We start from the raw sequence: 24,579 nt of genomic DNA on the forward strand, positions 1-24,579 counted from the left end.
ACAGAGCTAAAACTGTAGATTTAATGCTTTATTTCTTAAGTTGGGTGATGGGTATCATTATTATTTGGACTATTTGTATAATTATTTGTATTATGTGGAATGACATATGTCACTGAAGTAGCATCATATGCTTATTCAGAAACATAGAAGGAAAGGAAGCAGGAATTGGGAGTTGGGAAGTGAAAGAAAATATAGGGGATTCCTGTTTTTTTAAATCTTGCCCTCCTGGTTGACCTTTTAAACTATATATTGTTACTACTTCAAAATAGTCAATATCGTCAAAATAATGAAAATTTGAGCCAGAGAGTAATATATGATATGCTTCTGGAAGATCTCCATTTTTTGTTATTATACTTTAAGTTCTAGGGTATATGTGCACATCGTGCAGGTTTGTTACATATGTATACATGTGCCATGTTGGTGTGCTGCACCCATTAACTCGTCATTTACATTAGGTATATCTCCTAATGCTATCCCTCCTCCCTCCCCCCACCCCACAACAGGCCCTGGTGTGTGATGTTCCCCTTCCTGTGTCCAAGGGTTCTCATTGTTCAATTCCCACCTATGAGTGAGAACATGCGGCGTTTGGTTTTTTGTCCCTGCAATAGTTTGCTGAGAATGATGGTTTCCAGCTTCATCCGTGTCCCTACAAAAGACATGAACTCATCCTTTTTTATGGCTACATAGTGTTCCATGGTGTATATGTGCCACATTTTCTTAATCCAGTCTATCATTGTTGGACATTTGGGTTGGTTCCAAGTCTTTGCTATTGTGAATAGTGCCACAATAAACATACGTGTGCATATGTCTTTATAGCAGCATGATTTACAATCCTTTGGGTATATACCCAGTAATGGGATGGCTGGGTCAAATGGTATTTCTAGTTCTAGATCCTTGAGGAATCGCCACACTGTCTTCCACAATGGTTGAACCAGTTTACAGTCCCACCAACACTGTAAAAGTGTTCCTATTTCTCCACATCCTCTCCAGCACCTGTTGTTTCCTGACTTTTTAATGATTGCTATTCTAACTGATGTGAGATGGTATCTCATTGTGGTTTTGATTTGAATTTCTCTGATGGCCAGTGATGATGAACATTTTTTCATGTGTCTTTTGGCTGCATAAATGTCTTCTTTTGAAAGTGTCTGTTCATATCCTTTGCCCACTTGTTGATGGGGTTGTTTGTTTTTTTCTTGTAAATTGGTTTGAGTTCTTTGTAGATTCTGGATATTAGCCCTTTGTCAGATGGGTAGATTGCAAAAATTTTCTCCCATTCTGTAGGTTGCCTGTTCACTGTGATGGTTGTTTCTTTTGCTGTGCAGAAGCTCTTTAGTTTAATTACTTCCCATTTGTCAATTTTGGCTTTTGTTGCCATTGCTTTTGGTGTTTTAGACATGAAGTTCTTGCCCATGCCTATGTCCTGCATGGTATTGCCTAGATTTTCTTCTAGGGTTTTTATGGTTTTAGGTCTAACATTTAAGTCTTTAATCCTTCTTGAATTAATTTTTGTATAAGGTGTAAAGAAAGGATCCAGTTTCAGCTTTCTACATATGGCTAGCCAGTTTTCCCAGCACCATTTATTAAATAGGGAATCCTTTCCCCATTTCTTGTTTTTGTCAGGTTTGTCAAAGATCAGATAGTTGTAGATGTGTGGTATTATTTCTGAGGGCTCTGTTCTGTTCCATTGGTCTATATCTCTGTTTTGGTACCAGTACCATGCTGTTTTGGTTACTGTAGGCTTGTAGTATAGTTTGCAGTCAGGTAGCGTGATGCCTCCAGCTTTGTTCTTTTGGCTTAGGATTGACTTGGCAATGCGGACTCTTTTTTGGTTCCATATGAACTTTAAAGTAGTTTTTTTTCCAAGTCTGTGAGGAAAGTCATTGGTAGCTTGATGGGGATGGCATTGAATCTATAAATTACCTTGGGCAGTATGGCCATTTTCACAATATTGATTCTTCCTACCCATGAGCATGGAATGTTCTTCCATTTGTTTGTGTCCTCTTTTATTTCGTTGAGCAGTGGTTTGTAGTTCTCCTTGAAGAGGTCCTTCACATCCCTTGTAAGTTGGATTCCTAGGTATTTTATTCTCTTTGAAGCAATTGTGAATGGGAGTTCACTCATGATTTGGCTCTGTTTGTCTGTTATTGGTGTACAAGAATGCTTGTGATTTTTGCACATTGATTTTGTATCCTGAGACTTTGCTGAAGTTGCTTATCAGCTTAAGGAGATTTTGGGCTGAGATGATGGGGTTTTCTAAATATACAATCATGTCATCTGCAAACAGGGACAATTTGACTTCCTTTTTTCCTAATTGAATACCCTTTATTTCTTTCTCCTGCCTGATTGCCCTGGCCAGAACTTCCAACACTATGTTGAATAGGAGTGGTGAGAGAGGGCATCCCTGTCTTGTGCCAGTTTTCAAAGGGAATGCTTCCAGTTTTTGCCCATTCAGTATGATATTGGCTGTGGGTTTGTCATAAATAGCTCTTAGTATTTTGAGATATGTCCCATCAATACCTAATTTATTGAGAGTTTTTAGCATGAAGGGCTGTTGAATTTTGTCAAAGGCCTTTTCTGCATCTATTGAGATAATCATGTGGTTTTTGTCTTTGGTTCTGTTTATATGACGGATTACGTTTATTGATTTGCGTATGTTGAACCAGCCTTGCATCCCAGGGATGAAGCCCACTTGATCACAGTGGATAAGCTTTTTGATGTGCTGCTGGATTCGGTTTGCCAATATTTTATTGAGGATTTTTGCATCGATGTTCATCAGGGATATTGGTCTAAAATTCTCTTTTTTTGTTGTGTCTCTGCCAGGCTTTGGTATCACGATGATGCTGGCCTCATAAAATGAGTTAGGGAAGATTCCCTCTTTTTCTATTGATTGGAAGACAGAGTCTTGCTCTGTTGCCCAGGCTGGAGTGCAGTGGCACGATCTCCGCTCACTGCAATCTCCACCTCCTGGGTTCACACCATTCTCCTGCCTCAGCCTCCCACGTAGCTGGGACTACAGGCACCCACCACCATGCCTGGCTAATTTTTTTGTATTTTTAGTAGAGACGGGGTTTCACTGTGTTAGCCAGGATGGTCTTGATCTCCTGACCTTGTTATCTGCCCACCTCGGCCTCTGAGTGTGCTGGGATTACAGGCGTGAGCCACCGCGCCTGGCCTGGAAAATCTCCATTTTTATGACTTTTTCATTTTTAATTTTTTTTAAGAGACAGGGTATCTGCCAGGCACAGTGGCTCATGCCTGTAATTCCAGCAGTTTGGCAGGCCGAGGCGGGTGGATAGCTTAAGCTCAGGAGTTCGAGATCAGCCTGGGCAACATGGTGAAACCCTGTCTCTACAAAAAAAATACAAAAATTAGACCGGTGTGGTGGCAGGCACCTGTAATCCCAGTACTTGGGAGGCTGAGGCAGGAGAATCACTTGAACCCAGGAGATGGAGGTTGCAGTGAGCCGAGATCACACCACTGAACTCCAGCCTGAGTGACAGAGCGAGACCCTGTCTCAAAACAAAACAAAACAAAAAGAGACAGAGTCTTGCTCTGACGCCCAGGCTGGAGTACAGTGGTGTTATCATAGCTCACTGCAGCCTATACTCCTGGGGTCAAGAGATCCTCCTGCCTCAGCCTCCTGAGTAGCTGAGACTAGGAGGGTGAGCCACTGTGCTGGGCTAAGATCTCCATTTTTAGATGCTTTATCTCAGTGTATTCAAAATATGGTCCTTGGACAAGTGTGGGTTGGTGATCTGGTCTGCCATCAACTAAATAGAGAACTGAGCCTAAGTGTTTGGGAACTTTTACTGCAATTTTAGAGTGATTTTATTTATGCTGAATCAATAATTTAAAAAGTGAGACTTGTATTTTGTATTCTATAATTTACTGTATTATCATTTTTTTCTAGAAACAAACTCTTATTTCTCAAAAGTATTGGTTGAAACAAATTAAAATGAACAAAAAACCAACTGGTTTTGCACAAGTAGTTTGAGATATATTGCTCTATCTTACTCAAAATTGATGTGTATGTGATTTCTTTTTCTATAATGTGAAGTTTTTTTTTTTTGTTTTCTTCTTTGGGGATCTTGTGATCTACTCCTAAAATATTAATGTCATGTGGGATTCCAGAATTGTTTTGTTTTGTTCCAGATATTTGCCTTGCATATATAAAGAAGATGTGGCCATTCTTTGCATGCTGTTTCCCCAGAGACACATGTAAATGGAGTTGTAATTTCCTGTTGGTAAACAGCAAGTATTTAAATTTAGAATCAGGTGGTAAGGTTGATATGTAGACGGGTAATAAATTGAATTGCCTTCAAAGCGATACCTTTTCCAGTTAACTGTTAACTCACCAGTTTACTGCTTTTCTTTTCTTTCTTTTTTATGCTTCATGAATTTGTGTGTCATCTTTGTACAGGAGCCATGTGCTAATCTCTGCACTGTTCCAATTTTAGTGTTTGTGCTGCTAAAGCAAGCACGGCTTTTCTTAATCGTATCAAATATTACATGGTATGTGAAAACAGTATATATCTGGCTTGAGGTATTTCACTGATGACAAATGGACCTCATGTTATAGAGGAATGAAAGATATAAATTAATAAAACATGATCATGATAAGAATAAAACCAAACTAAATCTCCTCTCCAGTGCTTGGCAGCACACTCCCGGAGAGGGTTCAGGCTGTGCGTGGCCCCCCAGCGGTGCTCAGAGATGGCTTAATGGCCTCGGTGACAACAGGAGCCCAGACTGCATAAGATTCTGCCTCTGCAGATGCAGAACAGTAGGGGCCTCTGATGTGCTCAAACATCTGTTTTGGATCTCCATTTCTCCTCAAGAAGAGACTACTTTTTAAAAATTATTTTTTTGAAGCTGGATTACTTACTGATTTCCAGAGTCCTCTTACACCTGCCACTTCTCAAGGGAATCCTTTGGGCATAATCTTTTAATCTTTCTGGAAAGCTAACAAAACATTACCTGTGCCAGGCCTTCCACCAGGAACACCCCATTCTTTCCATCATAGTGCTTTTTAAAGGACTTTATCATTTGTTCTCTGGGTTCATTTAACTCTTAACTTACACCAATTTAGCATCTTTGCTGTATTTCCTTGCTATTTCTTATTTCATTCTTTACATGTTATGTTACATTTCTGTTTGAGTCTTTACAGTATCTTCTTTCTTACCAACTTGTCTTTCTAGAATATTCTCACAATTAATGTTTTGGTTTGTTTTGAGGTAGGCGATCAGCAGGACTTGTTTTCTGAGCACTGGTCAGGACCCTGTCTATCTAAATGGTAGGTAGCAAAGAAACTGCCCAAAGCCAGGTAGGACCAGCAATTATAATGCACTTGCATAAGACACTTCTATCAGTACCATGACAGTTTACAAATGCCATGGCAATGACCTGGAAGTTATCTTATATAATTCTGGGAACTCTCTTCCCTTTTTCCGTAAAGTTTGTGAATAACCCACCCCTTATTTAGCAAATAATTAAGAATGGGTATAAATATAGGTAGCCAGCAATCCACAAGTGCTACTCCAGACCAGTCTGTCTATGGGATGGCCCTGCTCTGTCTATGAAGCAGTCACTTGGCTGTACACTGTTGCTCAAATAAACTTGCTTTCTTTCATTGTCAGCTCACTCTTGAATTCCTTCCTGGGTGAAGCCAAGGATCCTCCTGAGCTGAGCCCCAATTTCGGGATTTGCCTGTATCAGCCTGGTGACCCAGATGGGACAAACAATGGGAACAAGATGAATGGGACAAAGTGACTCAGTACAGATCGGAGTTGTGGAGCTGTAACACTATGAAGCTGTAACTCTAGGGCAGTTTGCGCTGTAGAGCTGCGCCTAAAGGACTCTTTTCAGAGCCATCATCTTTCCTGGCAACTCACAAGACAAGGGAACCTGAGGGAAACCTTCACCCAAACCCCAAATAAAGACAGATTAGCACCATTTGACTTCCACACACAAAGGTCAGTCTTCCCTTTGTTCCCCCTCAATATTGACCTTTTTGGGTGAGCCAGGAAATGGGAACTGAGTCTCTGGCTTGGTAGCTCATTGTCCCCCATCATCTGAGTGTCCCGAATGGCAGCAGGCCTGGCATGTCCTTGTCACCCTTTCTCCTGGACCTTCCTTTTTCTCTTTAGTGGCTAATGACCGCCATTTTACTTTTACACTTATTTTGTTGTTGCATTTGTGGTCTTTCCTTTAGATATTTGGGCAATTGTTTCTGTTCAATGTAAGGCAAGACACTTTCCGTGTTTGTTTTTAACCCCTTCTTTTCTAATTTTGAGAGGTCCCCTGTTGTCCTGACTCTGGGATGCCTGACTCTGGTGTTGAAGCCCTAGACTCAAGCGATCTGCGCGTCCTGGCCTTTCAAAGTGCTAGGATTACAGGTGTGAGCCACTGTGCTCAGCCATGTGCCTTTTTCTTTGTCTGATTTGACTTTACGCAAGGAGAAATTTGGTTGGTTTTCAGAGGATCCAGGAAAGTTTACGGAGAAATTTGTTCAGTTGATCGTGTTCTTTGACTTAACATGGCATGACTTGCAAATATTATTGTCTACCTGCTGTACTGCAGAGGAGAAACAAAGGATTCTGGGTACTGCTCATGAATATGCAAATGGAGTGGCAACTGGTAACTAAGGTCATGCCATTTATCATGTGAGGGGAGATGCAGCTCTAGATCTGGTCCCTCAGTGGGATTACCAGAGGGGTTCCCAAGATCTTGAACACAGAAATCACATGGTAACTTGTTTAACAGTAGGTATGGAAAAGTGTGTGGTTAAGCTAGTTAATTACAACAAGGTTAGAGAAGTAACTCCGAGGAAGGACAAAAATCTCACTCTATTTCAGGACAGTTTGGTTGAGGCAAGCAGGAAATATGCTAAGTGTAGACCCAAACTCCCTGGAAGGGTGAGCTCTCCTAGGTATGCATTTAATTACTTAATATGCCCCTGGCATTATGAGGAAGTTACAAAAGGCAGAAATGGGACCTCAAACTCCCATGAGTCAACTCTTGTACATGGCCATTGGGTTTACAACAACAGGGACAGAGCAGAGGAAGCAGAGAAAACCAAAATAAAAAGCCAAAAAGCCCAGTTGTTAGTGGCTGCCTTAAGCCACCTGCTGCCTCGAGGTTATTCATCCCAGGGAAGTGTTGCAAGATCGGTGTCTGGGCTGCCCAGACGATAGCCCCCAACTTGCTGGCCCCTGAGCCAGAATCAGTGTGCCTACCATAAGCAAGAGGGCCATTGGAAAAGGGACTGCCTCAGGCTCCAAGGGGAATCTGGGCCACTCAAACCCATAATGGCCAAGACAACAGAGAACTGACGGGACCTGAGGTTCCCCATGGCTCCCACTGGACACCTTACCATCTCCACAGAGGAGCCGTGGGTAACTCTTGATGTGGCAGGTAAGAATACTGAGTTCTTATTGGATATGGGAGCAGCCTTCTCAGTTCTGACCCATTTCTCAGGGCCACTGTCTTCCTACTCTTGTACCATACTGGTGGTACAAGAGTACCACCTTATACAAGGTACATGATTGATAGCCAGCCAAAAATTAGGAGATTCACCCATCCCCTTGGTTGCACTGTAGGCGATCATATGTTTTCCCACATGTTCTAGCTTATGTCTCAGTGCAGTATTCCTTTACTGGGAAGAGACTTACTTTTCCAATTACAGGCCACAGTTCAATTTGGAGAGCCCCACAAAAAGGCAATAGGCCGGGAAGGGGCACTACTTCTAGCTCTAAGTGCTTGACTTACTACAGGTAAAGAAAAGACCTTCCTTCCACCGCATATTACTTCTCAAGTAGACTCTTCTGTCTGGGACAAAGAAGTTCCTGATAGAGCTGTTAATGTTTTACCCATGGGAAAAACAATATCCTTTGAGACCTGAAGCAAAAGCAGGGATACAGCCCCAGATAGAAAAGTTTCTAAAGTAAGGATTATTACAACCCTGTCAGTCCCCATATAATACTACCATCCTGCCTGTAAAGAAACCAGGTGAGAAATACAGATTTCTTCGGGATCTGAAGGGAGTTAATGAGGCATTAGTTCCAGTCTACCCAATAGTTCCTAACCCTTATACAATATTGACCTAAGTCTCTGAACATGCTAATTGATTCACGGTATGAGACTTAAAGGATGCTTTCCTTTTTATACCTTTGCGCCCAGACTCCTAGTATATTTTAACTTTTGAATGGACTGATCCAGATGCTCATGCTACATCTCTGTTTACCTGGAATGCCTTTTCCCAAAGTTTTAGGGTCAGTCCTCATCTCTTTGGGGATGTATTGGCAAAATAATTAAGGGAACTACAGTTAATGAATTGATCCCTCCTAAAATATGTGGATGACCTATAAATTTCCAGCCCTACTAGGGACGACTCTGATAAAAATATAATTCAGGTCCTTACTTTCTTGGGAAAATAAGGGTATCGGGTATTCTCCCACAAGGCCCAGACTTCTGTGCAAAAGGTTAAATACCTGGGATACATGCTTATTCCTGGAACAAGGACAATAGCCAGGAATGAAAAGAGACCACTCTGGCACTGCAGCGCCATCAGACTAAGAAACAGTTAAGAACCTTTTTGGGAATGGGTGGATTCTACCATATCTGGATTCCCTGGTTTGGGGTCATAGCAAAACCACTCTATGAAGCTCTAAAAGGGAATGATCACGAGCCTTTGAACTGGGATGGAACCTGCCAACAGGCATTCCTAACCTTAAAAGAAAATCTGGGAATGGCCCATGCTTTGTGACTCCCAAACTTAGAAAAACCTTTCACTCTCTATGTGGCTGAAAAACAAGGGACAGCTTTGGGTGTTCTAACTCAAAGGCTAGGGAATAATCCTAGACCAGGGCTTATTTTTCTAAAAAGCTAGATCAGGTGGTGGCCAGATGGCCAGGATGCTTGTGAGCTGTGGCCACCACCATTCTATTGGTAGAAGAAGCCAGGAAGTTAGCCAGGCACGGTGGCTCGTGCCTGTAATCCCAGGACTTTGGGAGGCCAAGGCGGGTGGATCACGAGGTCAGGAGATCGAGACCATCCTGGCCAACATGGTGAAACCCCATCTTTACTAAAATACAAAAAAATTAGCCGGGTGTGGTGGCATGTGCCTGTAGTCCCAGGTCCCAGCTACTCAGGAGGCTGAGGCAGGGGAATTGCTTGAACCCAGGAGGCGGAGGTTGCAGTGAGCCAAGATCATGCCACTACACTCCAGACTGGCAACAGAGCAAGACTCTGTCTCAAAAAAAAAAAAAAAAAGCCATGAAGTCTTCCTTGGGACAAAAATTAGATGTCATTACTTTCCCTCCTCAATCAAGTACACTAGGTCCTAGAGCAAAAGGACATTAATGGCTAACAGGGAGTCAGTTGCTCAAATATTAGATCCCTCTGTTCCACACCCAAGAGTTTACCCTTAAAGTATGTCAGGTTTTAAATCCTGCTACTCTGTTGCTGGACTCAATGTCCCGAGAACGGAGGAAACCATGGAACAGACCTACTCTAGCAGGCTTGACCTTAAAGATAAGTCCTTTCCTAACCCTGATGTTAAATGGTTTACACACACACATACACACACACACACACACACACATATATATGCACACACACATACTTTTTTTTTGAGATGGATTCTCACTGCGTAGCCCAAGTTGGAGTGCAATGGCATGATCTCGGCTCACTGCAACCTCCACTCCAGGGCTCAAGCAATTTTTGTGCCTTGAATCAGTAAATATATTGACTCAAGTCTTTTCCCAATCAGAGAGCCCTAATTAGAGTGATTAATTCCACTTTTTTAGCAGAAGTGTGAGGAGGTAAAGCTTTGGCCTCAATAACTTCTTGTTGGCCTGCCTTCTTTACTCTCTCATGAATAAAGCTACTCCCATCAGTAAACCATTTAACATCGGGGTTAGGCAGGGACTTACCTATTCTGGAATAGCAGGGGCTATTCCGGACTATAAAAAGGGCCACCAGGGCCTGTGAACTCTGTGCCTGTAACAACTCAGGAAGCCACCCTATACCCCCACCCCTACTCAAGCCTGCAATGGGGAAGACTGGCAAATAGGTTTCACCCAGATGCCACCGTATACAGAGGACTGAAGTATTTGCTAGTACTTATAACAATTTCATCAGGCGGATAGAAGCTTTCCCCACAAGGACAGAAAAAGCACTGGAAGTGTCCACATTGTTATTTTAAAAAAATCATCCCAAGTTTTGAATTACCAACATATTTGCAAAGTGATAAGAGACCTTCCTTCACAGCTAAGGTGACCCAGCAGGTTTCCTCAGCCTTAGGCATTATCTATCATCTTCACTCCTCCTAGAGGCCTCAATCCTTAGGTAAGGTAGAAAAAGACAATCATGTTTTAAATAGGACATTAGCAAAACTGTCAGGAGACCTCAGAGACCTGGGTATCTCTCCTTTCCATGGCCCTTTTTTGCATAAGGATGGCTCTGAAGGGAACCTTAAAACTTAGCCCATTTGAAATGGCCTATGGGGGGCCCTTTTTTAACTTCAGGCTTCCTGTTTGATGAGGAGACACACAGAATGCTTACTCATATTAACTTAGACCAGGTTCAAAAGGCCCTTCAAGAATATGGAAATAAGGTATTTCCCTTTTTCACAAACGAAAAAAAATAGCTCCCCTGTTCAACCAGGAGACAGAGTCCTATTAAAAACTTGGGAAGAAGGATCCCACGAGGATCAATTATAACCAAAATGGAAGGTACCCTACCAGGCATTGTTAAGCATCCCCACTGCTGTTAAACTTCAGGGAGTCACTAGATGGGTACACTTGTCCAGAATTAAACCTGTTTCTCATAAGTCCCCACAGGCACAAGAGGAGGACACTATGCCCACAAAATCAGTAGGAGGCAGTGACAGAGGATGGACCTCCATCCTTCTACAACACTTTACGATTAAAGAGGAGTATATAATCTCTGAAAGGGTAATGAGGTAGCAGATCAGCAGGGCTTGTTTTCTGAGCACTGGTCATAACCCTGCTGATCAGGACAGGATGTAGCAAATAAACCAGCCCAAACCAGCTAGGACTAGGAGTTTTACTACATTCGCACAAAGACACTCCCACAAGTGCATGACACTTTACAAATTCCATGGCAACATCTTGAAGTTACTTTATATGGTTCCAGGAGCTCCCTGCCCCTTTTCTAGAAAGTTTGTGAATAACCTGTTCCTTATTAAGCATATAACTAAGAGTGAATATAAAGATAGCTAGTCCATGAGTGCCACTCTGCCTATGGGATAGCTCTGCTCTGTCTACGGAGCAGCCATTTTCCTGTACATGTTGCTCAAATAAACTTGCTTTCTTTTACTGTTGGCTCACTCTTGAATTCTTTCCTGGTTGAAGCCAAGAACCCTCCCAAGCTGAGCCCCAGTTTTTGGGTTTGCCTGCATCAGTTCTACATTTCATTCTCATGCCATTCTAGTACAAACATGAAGTGTAGGGGTGAGGTGGGAGGCAATAAAGATAGTCCTTCCAAAGCCTTGTATTTCCACCAGGACTCTTGGCAGCGAATCCCTTTCCTCTATTGGTTAGCCTCCTTCCCCACAGTGCTGCAACCAGCTGGTTGTATTTAGGGCTTAGTTGAAGTCTGAAACCTTGATTTTAGTGGCACCAACCTGTGAGCTTAGGAGATGTATTCCTCCCCTCCAGTTGCACCTAGTAGACCCAAAATTAGACAACTGTATTAATTCAGGATTTGAGGTTGTTACAGAAGGAAATAAGGCAGGAGAGGATTCTTAGGATCTAAGTTGGCTAGGAGAAGAAATGAAACTAGGAGAAGACTAATAGAATGCAGAAGGGTCCCAGGACTTAAGTTTCTGAGGGACAGTCATGGGTGAGCACAAGGAGTGTGAACAGGTAGTGAAAAATGTCCTCAAAGATGAGGCAATCAAATGACTTGATTAATGGTTTATTCCCTAAGGCTCTAAAGCACATGGAATGGATCATTTTGGCTGCTGCAGAAACCATGGGTAAGAGAACATGGTGAGGTCCTATAGAGCCTACCAACCCAAGTCAAGGAGAGCCACAAGTTTCAGTGTATGCAAATATGAGGTCAGCGCCGGTTTGGGGAATAGGAAAGACGCAGGGGCTGTGTCGACTTTTGGAGGCCAGTCCAGAAGTCGAGTCCAGGCGATGGTAGGAGCTACTCCCCAGACCTGAGCACCTCTCCTAACAGCAGCTCAGGCAAAGGCCACGTCTCGGAACAGTTGGCTGCACAGGTCACGTGACGCGCCCCTAGCCCGGCTCTATTTGGCTGCAAGAGCGCTCTGTCGCCTGCCTCGGACTCTGTTTCCCAGAAGTCTTCCTGGAAACTACATTTCGCAGGGGGCTTTGCGGCGCCTACTTCCTCCTGGCTGATTAGATGGGACTGGTGCCGTTGGCCGGACGTTTTTGGGAGCTTCACAGGCTGATGGGGAAGGGCGAAACCTGCTCGATTAAAACAACCCGCATTTCGAGGCGAGGAAGCGAGTCACGGCTCGGCCCCTCCCTTTGTGAGGAGAACCAGGCCCGCCTCGGGGTCCCCTGGGCAATGTAGTAACGTGAAGGTCTCCGAGTCCCGCTAGCACTCCCGGGGCGTGGGGGTCCCAAGTGGGACTGGAACCACCGCGAAAGAGGCGGGGCTGCGCGGATCTTCCACACCAGCTCCTCCCTTCCGTCAGGGGGTGCTGCGCATGAACGTTTTCCCATCTCTACCTCTTGGTTATCCCTCAGCAGAGATTCTTCTTTTACTCTGTACAGTTTTCAGCATCCCTCAAGCTGATATTTCAATTAAACAAATTTTAGAATTCTGAGAAATGGCGAAATAATGTAAAAGAAACAAATGATATTGGCCCTAAATTATCCTCCAGCCCCTGCTGCTCATCGGACACTTTATGAGGTTACAAAGGACCATGGCGCTGCGCATATGGGGGATCCATTTTACCCACCGTACTTAGATCAGGCTGTGACTTCCGCCCTCGAGGAGCGGCTGCTGCTCTACCGGGTGTGCTCATTTAGCCCTAGCGTTGTTTGTGCGTTTGAGGACATTCGCTGAGCCAAGCTGCAAGGGTGTCGTTATCATTTTACGAGGGGAATACGGAGAGCATGGTGGATAAAAGGTGGTTGACCTGCCCAGGCTATACAGCTAGAAGTGCCGTTAGAACTTGGTACAGGTGGAACTGATTCTGATACTTGTCTCAAACTGTTACCAGTGGAGGGTGTTCAGGTTCTTGGTGTCTTGAACAAATAATTGGACAAAACGGCACAAACAAAGCAAGGGAATAATGAAGTAACAAAAGCAGAGATTTATTGAAAACGAAAGTACATTTCACAGGGTGGGAGCAGGCTGAGCATGGGGGCTCACGAGCGCTGTTATAGAATTTTCTGGGGGTTAAATACCCTCTAGAGGTTTCCATTGGTTAGTTGGTGTATGCCTTATGTAAATGAATAGGTTAAAAGTTACAAAGGCATTGTATGCCCTATGTAAATAAAGAGGATATTTCGGCGGGGAGTTGTGGCTTACACCTGTAATCCCAGCACTTTGGGAGGCCAAGGCGGGCGGATCACCTGAGGTCAGGAATTCGAGACCAGCCTGGTCAGCATGGTGAAACCCCATCTCTACTAAAAATAAAAATAAAAATAAATTAGCTGGGCGTGGTGGCATGCGCCTGTAATCCCCTGGTGGCTGAGGCAGGAGAATCACTTGAACCGGGCAGAGGTCACAGTGAGCCGAGATCGCGCCGTTGCACTCCAGCCTGGGCGACAGAACAAGACTCAAATAAATAATAAATAAATAAATAAAAAGGATGTGTCTTATCATAGCTGAAGTGTTTCATTTGATTTAATTCTAGCAAGTCCTTAAGTTCCCTGCCTCCAGGCCATATTCTGCCTCAAGACCTATCCTGTTTACTTCGTGTAGCATTAGTTTCTTTTTCCCAGGTTTGCTGCTACTTACTTGGTTAAGCCATGATCATCTCGGCTGTACTCACAGTCTCATAAATCCGGTGTTTATTGAGTGTTAGCACCGTGCCAGGCAGTGTGTTGAGTGCTGGGACATGGTGTTGAACAGGGGCAGACACAACCTTACCTTCATGGTGTTTACAGCCTAATGGGGAAGACAGTTACTGATCACATAATACAAATAAGAATAAAATGTCAAATTGCGATAAATAGAACACCCCCACCCCCAGGATGCTACAAGAGAGAATAATGGAGGAAAATTGATACATTAGATTGATTAGGGAAAGAAAGAAATGTTTGGTCTGAAATGCTTGAAGAAGGCTGAGAAGAAGGAAGCTGTGTAACAGCCAAGAGAAGAGTAGTCCAGGCAGAGGGATCAGCAAGTGCAAAGGCTCTGAGCGGGGAAGAGCTTGGTGTTTTGCAATTCAAGGAACTCAGAGAAGTCCCTTGTGATTGGAACACAGTGAAGTAGGGGAGAGTGGAACAAATTGAGACTGGCTTTCCTTTTACCAGTCTTGCCTCTTCTTTTCTTTTCTTTTTTTTGAGACAGAGTTTCACTCTTGTTGCCCAGGCTGGAGTGTAGTGGCACAATCTTGGCTCACCGCAACCTCCACCTCCCAGGTTCAAGCGATTCTCCTGCCTCAGCCTCATGAGTAGCTGGGATTATAGGCATGCGCCACCACGTCCGGCTAATTTTGTATTTTTAGTAGAGACGGGGTTTCTCCATGTTGGTCAGGCTGGTCTCAAACTCTTGACCTCAGGTGATCCACCCGCCGGGCCTCCCAAAGTGCTGGGATTACAGGTGTGAGCCACTGCACCCAGCCTAGTCTTGCCTCTTCTAAACCATATCCACACTGGCAGTATAGGAATATTTTCAGTACTCAAATATGATGACTTGACTTTCCTTTAGAGGCTTTGTGTCCCCTACAAGTTTTAGCTCAAACTCCTCAGCACAGTGCTCAGAGACCTTCGTAATTGGATTTACCTCACTTTCCAGTCTTCCTTTTTTGCAAGTTCTGTTATCTCTGCTTGGCATGCCCTCTCCTATGTGCTTGCTGATCAGGCAAACTTCTATTCACACTTTGTCTTGGCTGAAATATCATCACCTCTGTGCTCTCCTTGTGCACTCTCAATTCACTTCTTGTCCCCCTGCTGTGTAACTACTGGTTTGCCTACCAGTCTTTCCCAAGAGACAGTGAGCTCCTCCTCTTGGGGATGTGTTTTCTATCTTTGTATGATGCAGAACACAAGGCCTGGCAGTTGCTCTTTTCTTTCTTTCTTTTCTTTTTTTTTTTTTTTGAGACGGATTCTTGCTCTGTCGCCCAGGCTGGAGTCCAGTGCAATGTCGGCTCACTGCAACCTCCGCCTCCCGGGTTCAAGTGATTCTCCTGCCTCAGCCTCCCAAGTAGCTGGATTACAGGCATGCGCTACCACGCCCAGCTAATTTTTTGTATTTAGTAGAGATGGGGTTTCACCATGTTGGTCAGGCTGGTCTCAAACTCCTGAACTCAGGTGACCCAAAGTGCTGGGATTACAGATGTGAGCCACCACACCTGGCCATTGCTGTTTTCATAACAAATATTCATTAAGAGAATGAGTGGAACAGCTAGCCATGACTAGCCTCCACTTGTCACCTGATGAGAAGGTGACATGTGGTTCTTATCCTTGGCAGAGTGGAAATTAGCATCCAAAAGGACGCAAGAAGAGATGAGTAAAAAATCTACACTTACCCATGAGCCAGATACTGTCTCATCCACTGTCTCATTTAATCTTTGTGACAATCATAGTTCTCAGTTTTTGCTGCTAAGAAAACTGGTGCCCAAAGGCTCTGCCTAAAGATTACCCAACTAGTAATGGAGAACCTCGGTAGGAAATTGGGTCTTTCTGATCTCAAAGGTTGAGCCCCTCAATATTCCTTCTGTTCTTTTTGCCCCATCTGGCACCCGTTACTAGCACAGAAGCCCGGAAAGTTTAAGAAACAACTTCTGTCTCTGGTGTGTCATTTGTACCTCTGAGGACATCAACTTGGAACAGCCATTGTACCAGAGTTCTGTCTTTTCCAGGAATCAGTGACTCATATCAGTCTCTGCTGATATCAGCTGCTGAAGGGCTTAGGAGAACTGGTAGGACTCAGAGGAGCAGAAAATCCAGGAAAGGGCACTCTTGGCCAGTGCTGTTTAATAGAACTCTTTCAGATGAGTAAAATGTTCCATATTTGTGCTTTCCAGTATGGGAATGTCTCAAGTTCCTTTTTAGACAGTATCTCCAGCCCCCTCATTGGTTCCTGACTTCAGGCTGTTTCCAAGACATTCAACTTGAGACTACAGATCCCTGGGCTAGGTCTTCAAGGGCCCTCCAGATCCAAGCTATGCCTCAGTTTTAGCTGAAGTTGTGTCCAAGAACACAGGTCAGGGTACAGGGAGATGGGATACGTATAGCTCCAGACATGGCCAGTGCATTGTTGATATTGCCACCCCAGCAAACTGCCTAGAACTTGGCCCAGAGCAGATGCTAGGTTAACATGGTAGATGAGTGAATTTACTTTCTCTTCCCCAGATTGGGGCTCCCTCACCTACTGCCATTGGCTTCTGGAATCCTTCTCTATCATTGTGAACTGATGACTTGCCACATGGTGAAGATTAACGAAGCCAGTGCTTTGAACCACCACCCTGACATTTTGGGGGTAGGTCAGGGGGGTAGCTACAAAACCAGCTAGTAATAATTCATTGAAAATATGCTGGATCCAGCATTTTTATGTAATGACCTCATTTTTCTTGTGAAACCCTGTGTGCAAAATGAAAGCCCAAATGAGCATCTGCTATATACAGTTAGGAGTAGGGTGGTGCTGGGGAAAGAGGACTGATCTAGGAGTTACCCTGGACCTGGGGCTCATAGGCTGTATGACCTTGAACAAGATGCTCAATGCTTCTGTGCCCCAGTTTTCTCTCAAGTAAAATAAAAACATTGGACTCTAAGCTTCTTTCTACAGTTAATGTGAATGTTTAAAAAATGGCTGGTCACATCTGTGATCAACCTACATTAAGCACCTTTCAAGTGATTACTTGCTTCAATTAGGTCCATTTTCATTGTTTACTTTTACTAACAGTTTTTTTTCTTAACCCTTCCACTTCCAGTGCCTTCCTCATTCTTCACTATTTTTTGATTGTTTCTTCAGATTCTGATAAATCATCTTCATTTCCAGCCATTGAATCACCTGCTCCTTGGCCCTGCCTAGAGGCTCTTTAATCCTCAGCAGTTTCAATTTCCTGACAAAGCACACAGAGGGGGCCCGGTCTCCCTCCTCTTCCCTTGCCCACTACTCACCACTCTCCCATCTAAAACACATCTGAAAAATCAGGGAGGTTTCTATTCTGGCAGTTGTCTCTCTCACCACTAGATGGCACATGCAGGTCATCAGTCTTTTGGGCAAAAACTAATTTTATTGTGTATTTAAACTCCATCTCAATCCACAAAAGCTTTGAGGGGAATTACAAAAGTACAAAATATACAAAAGGATAAGACAAAAAGTTGAGGTAGCTGGAGAAAATAGAAAACAAGTGGAAGAAATAACTCCAGGATGACATTAGCTCAAAAAGATCAACACCAGCAAAGGCTTACACATTTGGCTCCGAGCTTCCAAATGGCCAAAGTAAAGAGGGAAATGTGAGTGGTAATAAAATTCTAGATTTTATGTGAGAAAAACAAATATTTGGGAGAAGCTCAACTTTTCCTGACCCTGAGACCAAAGAGATATTTTTCCCGTGGGTCAGCTGACTGAACAGTGATGCAATACAGCGGTGACTTAATTGGAGCTGTTTCTTATAATGTCCTTTTATGCAGGCCTATGGCATGACGCTCAAGTATAATTGAGGAAAAGCAGTTCTACTGGGCTTAAAACATGAGTTTCCAGGACAGAGTAAATTCACTGTTTGTTGTGGGCCTCCGTAGTTTGAAACAGTGAAATCTGCACACCTCCCTGTTCCAGAGTTTAGGTGGAGTTTGGGGGAGAGGGGGTTCTTCTTGGAGACTGTGGTAAGCAGTTTCTAAGAGGGCCACCAATGATCCTGCCTCCTGGTTTTCAAACCCTATCTGGTCCCCTCCCATGTAGCAGCAGTAATGGTCTGTGTCACCAGCAGAATGCAGGAGAAGCAGGGCCGGGCATAGTGGCTTATGCCTATAATCCCAGCACTTTGGGAGGCCGAGGCAGGAGGATTGCTTGAGCCCAGGAATTAGAGACCAGCCTGGACAACAAAATGAGACCTCGTCTCTACAAAAAATACAAAAACTAGCCAGGCATGGTGGTGTGAGTCTGTAGTCCCAGATACTACGGAGGCTGAGGCGGGATAATTGCTTAAGCCCAGGAGGTTGAGGCTGCAGTGAGCTGTGTTCATGCCATTGCACTCCAGCCTGGGTGACAGAGCAAGACCCTGTCTCGAACAAACAAACAAAAACAAAAACACCCCACCAAAAACAGAATACAGGAGAAATTATGGTATGTCACTTCTCAGATCAGGTTAAAATACATCATAGCTTCTCTCTTGGTCTCTCTGTCTCTGGTTTTGTCTCTCTCTTTCTGTCATGCTAGGGAAAGCCAGGTGCCATGTCATTAGGAGTCTTGAGAGACCCATGTAGTAGAGAACTGAGCCTACTGTCAACAGCCAGTGTCACCTTATTAGTCATGTCAGAGTACCACCTTGGGAGCAGATCCTCCAGCCTCAGTCGAGTCTTCAGAGACTAAATCCCTGGCTAACACCTTAATGGCAAGAAACCTCATGAGAGACCATGAGCCAGGCCATTCAGCTAAGTCACACCTTGGCTCTATGAGATAATAAATGCTTGTTATTTTAAGCTGTTAAGTTTTGGTATAATTTGTTAAGCAACAATAGATGACTAATACAAAGGCCAATAGAAATCCAAGGTTGCATCAAGGATAATTTTACATGGGTAAGTCTACTTGGTTTCAGAGACCAAGAGAATATTTCAGAAGCAACTCAAGTGGGCATTATTTTTAACTTTTAGTTTAATTTAATTTAATTTTTTAAAAGACAAGTCAAATTTCACAGTGGGGCGTTGCATAGCAATCTTAGTGACACTAATGTTAATAAATTTGGATGACGTACTACCCTTGGACCAGCCCATGGGGGCTTCAAGTCTGATAGATATGGGCTCATATTCAGTCTGTGAATGTAGAAAGACAGAGGTAGAGGGATCCATGTAAAATGTCTGCAAAGGAGATTTCTCTGAAGAAGGACTGTGGGGGCAAGGACTTCAACTTCCTTATTCATGGTGACATCATCGGTGCCTAGCACAGAACCTGGCACGTGGTAGGCTTTCTACAAATCTTTCTTTTCTTTTTCTTTCTTTTTTTTTTTTTTTTGAGACACAGTTTTGCTCTGTTGCCCAGGCTGGAGTGCAATCTTGGCTCACTGCAACCTCTGCCTCCTGGATTCAAGTGATTCTCCTGACTCAGCCTCCTGAGTAGCTGGGACTACAGGCACACGCCACCACGCCTGGATAATTTTTGTATCTTTAGTAGAGACAGGGTTTCACCATGTTGGCCAGGATGGTCTTGATCTCCTGATCTCATGATCCACCCGCCTTGGCCTCCCAAAGTGCTGGGATTACAGGCATGAGCCACCCCGCCCGGCCTACAAATATTTCTTTGATGAATCTATGAGTGGTGAGCTACAACCTTGAGTGAGCTATTCATGTATCTGGGTAACCATCATTTATTAAGCTCCTACCATGTGCCATGTACACGATGTTGGTTAAGTCCCAGGGAACTTTTGTGTCATATACAGATTCAAATCCACTTTGTGCCCCCCACTGCACCTTCTCTCACCCTGTGTTTTCTCCTTGAAACTCTTTATTATTATTACTATTTTTTCTTTTTTTTTTTGAGACGGAGTCTCACTCTGTTGCCCAGGCTGGAGTGCAGTGGTGTGATATCGGCTCACTGCAAGCTCCGCCTCCTGGGCTCACGCCGTTCTCCTGCCTCAGCCTCCCAGGTAGCTGGGACTACAGGCGCCCGCCACCATGCCTGGCTAATTTTTTGTATTTTTTAGTAGAGATGGGGTTTCACCATGGTCTCGATCTCCTGACCTCGTGATCCGCCCGCCTCAGCCTCCCAATTTTTTCTTTTTTTTTGAGACAGAGGCTGGCTCTCTCACCCAGGCTGGAGTACAATGGCGCGATCTCAGCTCACTGCAACCTATACTTCCTGGGTTCAAGTGATTCTCCTGCCTCAGCCTCCTGAGTAGCTTGGATTACAGGCACCCGCCATCATGCCAGGCCAATTTTTGTATTTTAGTGGAGACGAGGTTTCACCATGTTGGCCAGGCTGGTTTTGAATTCCTCCTGACCTCAGGTGATCCACCCGCCTTGGCCTCCCAAAGTGCTGGGATTACAGGTGTAAGCACCCAGCCGAAACTCTTTATTACTTGTGTAGAGATTGTGCTTTTGCTTCCACACTGAACGGTTCTCATGGAAATAGTGTTCTTAATCACCATCACAAGTAATCTGGTCGCTGTTTTTCCAGTATGAGAACTAGAGTTGCTCAGGACATTGGGTTTATTTTGTGCAATTTTGTCTTGGGGCCTGTGCTACTGCTTTTTTTCCTCTTTGTTTTTGTTGAAAAGCGACTTGAAATGATTGGTGAACTAATACCAGTTCAATTGTACTGTGATGACAATTTTTTTTTTTTGAGACATAGTCTCTCTCTGTCACCCAGGCTGGAGTACAGTGGCACGATCTCAGCTCACTGCAACCTCCACCTCCCAGGCTCAAGTGATCCTCCCCGCTCAGCCTCCCAAGTAGCTGGGACTGCAGGTTCATGCCATCACACCCAGCTATTTTTTGTATTTTTTGTAGAGATGGGGTCTCCCCCTGTTGCCCAGACTAGTCTTGAACTCCTGGCTTCAAGCGATCCTCCTGCTTTGGCCTTGATTACAGGCATATGACAACTACCTGAATCTATATTCCCCTCTTCACACTGACTTTGGTGCTGTGGTTAACCAAATGTTACCGTAATGGAGATACTTTGGGTGTGAAGGAGAATCAAACAGAATGATTTGCCTCAGACCTTGTGTCCTCCCTTTCAGTAAAACATTCCTTTCTCCATGGTTGGCCCTGCACTACTTCCTTCTTCTCCCTCCGCATAGCTATTATTTATTGCCTACTCCATTCCCATCACCAAGTTCCACAAGTGTTATGTGCATTACTAAATCTGGGCGGGGAACTGTGAATTGCCTTGCCATTTTTGTTAGTCAGCTACTTTGAGAGATGGACACCAAGATGGGATGAAACATGCAGTTGTTTTACAAGGGGAAATGCTTGTGTGAAAGGAAGGAGGGAGGGAGCTAGAGAAGGCCAGGAGAGCCACCAGCCCCAAGAAAAGGAGAGAGGGAGAGAAGCCTGGGTTGTTGGCATTCTGAAGGAAGGAGCATTCTAACAAAGGTTCTGCAAAACCCTCAGGGAGTCCTTGAGCCAAAGTCAGCTAGCAAAGGAGTCTCTTGTCTGTTAGGACTGGGTCTGACTCTGTACTCAGCACTCCGTCATTGGTGGGGTGCATCTCCAGGGGAGGCGTGGCCAATGGATTTTAAAGCACAGCAGCTGGTGCCCTCAGCTCCCTGCAGTGAGAAGTTTGCAGAGGCACATTCTTGTGACTGAGACACCAATTTTTTTTTTTTTTTTTTGAGACAGAATCTTGTTCTGTTACCAAGGCTGGAGTGCAGTGGCATGATATCAGCTCACTGCAACCTCTGCCTCCTGGGTTCAAACGATTCTTGTGCTTCAGCCTCCCAAGCAGCTAGGACTACAGGCGCACACCACCTTGCCCCACTAAGTTTTGTATTTTTAGTAGAGATGGGGTTCCTCCATGTTGGCCAGACTGGTCTTGAACTCCTGACCTTAGGAGATCTACCTGCCTCGGCCTCCCAAAGTGCTGGGAATACAGGCGTGAGCCACTGAGCCTGGCTGAAACACCAATATTTATTTTCCTCTTTTTTGTTTTTTTTTTTGTATTTTTTTTTTTTAAATAACAGAAGCCTGATTTATTTGGGGTGGCAAAGACCTGATATTGAATGAAAAGATCCTAGCCTTCTTTGCAACTAGGTGTGGGCCTGTGTCTAAGTTCTGATCAATGCAATATAAACCAGAAGTATCACGAGGACCTTCCAGATACTCCCCTTAAGGGGATCTGGCCTGCCTGGGTGGTGAATCCCTTCTTCTCTTCTCTTTACCCAGGGCTATAGACAAAATGGCTGCAGCCTCAGTTGCCATTTTGTGTCAAGAGGCAATGTGTTACTGATGAAAGGGCAGACTAACAGCAAGACACTTTCCTCCCAGACCTCATACCCGCTCTGGATTGCTTACCTCTAGACTTAGACCTGAGAGAAAAATAAACCCCCTTGTTTAAGCCATTGTTATTTTGTTTTTGTTATAAGCAGATAATTCTAATCCTATTTAGTACGGTATCTATTCTTCACAACAGCTCTGCCAGGCAGGCACATTTATGCCCATTTTATAGAAAGTGAAGCACAGAATGATTAAGTGTTAGAACCTAAATTAGACCCCAGGGTGGCACTTAGGATAGTTTTAGCTGTGAATAACTGAACAGAGTTTCTCAGTCTTCTCTGAAGATAATAATTGCCTGGGGAGCTTGCTAAATATATATAACAGACTGCTGGCCTTCCCCGTGGACATGCTCGCTCAGTAGGTCCAGGTTAAGGCCTTGGGAAGCTACTTTATCTCAAACAAGCAGTCCAGGCTCTCTTTATCCTCAGGAAGCCCATGTGAATCCTAAGGTGGATGAAGACCAAGAGCAGGCAGCTCACACAGTAAGGAGGTAGATACTTTGCCTTAGAAGACTTCCGTGAGCATAGGAATCATTTGCAGAGCTTGATAGTATCATTTGTGGAGATTTCAGATTCTGGGCTCCAGTTTTTATTTTTAAAAAGTCAGTACATCTTTCATGGAACCTGGGCTTTTGGATTTTTGTAAAGCTCCCACATGAGCCTGTTGCATGTGATTCATAGAGTCCAGCTTGAGGGACTCTGGCTTAATAGGAGCACAGGCATTGGAGTGTGATGAACTGGGGTTTGAATCCCATTGCTGCATTTATTTGCTGGATGACCTGTAGCAGGCTAATTAAGGCTTCTGTGTCTCAGGTTTTACCATTTTTGAATTGAAGAAAAAATTATAAGGCTTACCTCGCAGAGTTGTTGTAAGGATTAAATGAGATAATTTATGTAAAACTCTTAGCTTTGCATAAATATGCTCTCAATAAATGGTGGCTATTGTTATTATCATACCCCATGCACACATCTTGCAAACAGTATGGGCACAGAGTTCTATTACTATGGAAAATTTATACAAATCTTCAGGGAATCACGATTCAGCGAAGGCTGGTACAGGGAGCTGGGACTCCCCTTTCTCTCCCCAGCGACCTCTGGCCCTGAGAGTGAGTGACCTGCCTGTGCATGCAGAGATTGAGTAAAGTTCTTACAGGATACACTCTTATGTCCCCCAGCAGCCACCTTCTACTCTCCTTTTTTTCTCTCTTCTTTCCCAACCGGTCTGTCCAAGAATTACCGTCTACACTCAATGGCTCAATTTTCTCATTTCCCATCCCCTTCTCCATTCACTGCAGTCTGAATTCTGCTGTCACTGCTTTACTGAAGTGACTCCAAGAGGCCACCAGTGGCTTCCATGTTGCTAAATCCACGGGTTCTTTTAAAGTCCTCATCTCGTTTGAGTCCTCTGCAACTTTTGCTGCTGCTGTCTGCTTATTCCTTCTTGGAACTTTTCTCTCTTGGCTTCCAGGACTCCATTGCTGTTTCTCCTTCTAAATCTGTGATCGCTTTCTTTAGCTTTTATGGAACCTCTACCTCATCCATGTCTTCTACAGCTCTGTTCTCTATCATTTTGATCCTTCATTTGCTCTTAGTTCCTTTTTTTCTCTGACCAGAGCCCACTATCACTGAACTCTTCAAAGTTCGAGGTATTAATAAATTATCTGCCTTCTTAGGATATCCTGGTCTAATGTGACCTTTTCCTTCTTTCCTCCATGGGGCAGCTTAAGACAGGCCCAAGGAGTGTGCTCCAGTCTCCTTCACAGGTGTTCCTAGGAAGCTCAGCAACACCCATTAAAACAGAACGTGGATTTCCTGTAGATTAGGCCCCGGGGAGACACTGAGATACCCTTGTTTCCAGTTATACTGCTGGGGGAGACAGAGTCATTCCATCCATCCCCTTAGCTCAGGCCTTAAGGCCTTGTGTCTAGGTCTTTGTTCTGCTGACACCCAGTGCCTTTCAGAGGAGTTGGGCCCATTCCTGACACTGACTTGATAGACATTGGGCCTTGCTTTTACCTTTGTGGTTTTGGCTTTCTCATCAATGAAATGTGAAAATTGGACGACTCAATTTCGCATTGAATAACCCATTATTTTTGATTTAGAAGTGACTCTGAGGTCACTTTTAACTCTCTGGCACCATCATGACCAGCTTTTTCATCAATTGCGCAACCTTAATACCACTCCTAGGACTCTCCTACGGAAATCCTCTCCCAAGTTCATGAAGACGTATGCCTACAAGAACGTTCACTTGTATG

The 24,579-nt window shown here is 44.2% G+C and overlaps 1 long non-coding RNA gene and 1 pseudogene across 1 annotated transcript, besides 4 other annotated features; both read right to left on the reverse strand.

The window, feature by feature from the left end:
• RNU6-1018P (RNA, U6 small nuclear 1018, pseudogene) lies at positions 4,376 to 4,481 on the reverse strand (annotated as a pseudogene).
• LOC124904905 (uncharacterized) lies at positions 11,925 to 13,565 on the reverse strand. The gene is made up of 2 exons (XR_007067588.1): positions 12,726 to 13,565; positions 11,925 to 12,458 (listed from the first exon to the last, which is right to left on the reverse strand). It is a non-coding gene; the product is annotated as an uncharacterized LOC124904905 (long non-coding RNA).
• Positions 12,360 to 12,569: an enhancer, noted in NCBI's record as "active region_17897". NCBI's record gives its function as "activates an Ori minimal core promoter by ATAC-STARR-seq in GM12878 lymphoblastoid cells {active_cell/tissue: GM12878}" and the evidence as "EXISTENCE:reporter gene assay evidence [ECO:0000049][PMID:35858748]".
• Positions 12,710 to 12,929: an enhancer, noted in NCBI's record as "active region_17898". NCBI's record gives its function as "activates an Ori minimal core promoter by ATAC-STARR-seq in GM12878 lymphoblastoid cells {active_cell/tissue: GM12878}" and the evidence as "EXISTENCE:reporter gene assay evidence [ECO:0000049][PMID:35858748]".
• Positions 13,150 to 13,389: an enhancer, noted in NCBI's record as "active region_17899". NCBI's record gives its function as "activates an Ori minimal core promoter by ATAC-STARR-seq in GM12878 lymphoblastoid cells {active_cell/tissue: GM12878}" and the evidence as "EXISTENCE:reporter gene assay evidence [ECO:0000049][PMID:35858748]".
• Positions 18,600 to 18,894: a silencer, noted in NCBI's record as "tiled region #13693; HepG2 Repressive non-DNase unmatched - State 22:ReprW". NCBI's record gives its function as "represses a minimal TATA promoter and a strong SV40 promoter by Sharpr-MPRA in HepG2 cells {active_cell/tissue: HepG2}" and the evidence as "EXISTENCE:reporter gene assay evidence [ECO:0000049][PMID:27701403]".

This window comes from Homo sapiens, chromosome 20 (genome assembly GCF_000001405.40).
Source record: "Homo sapiens chromosome 20, GRCh38.p14 Primary Assembly".
Lineage (NCBI taxonomy): Eukaryota > Metazoa > Chordata > Mammalia > Primates > Hominidae > Homo > Homo sapiens.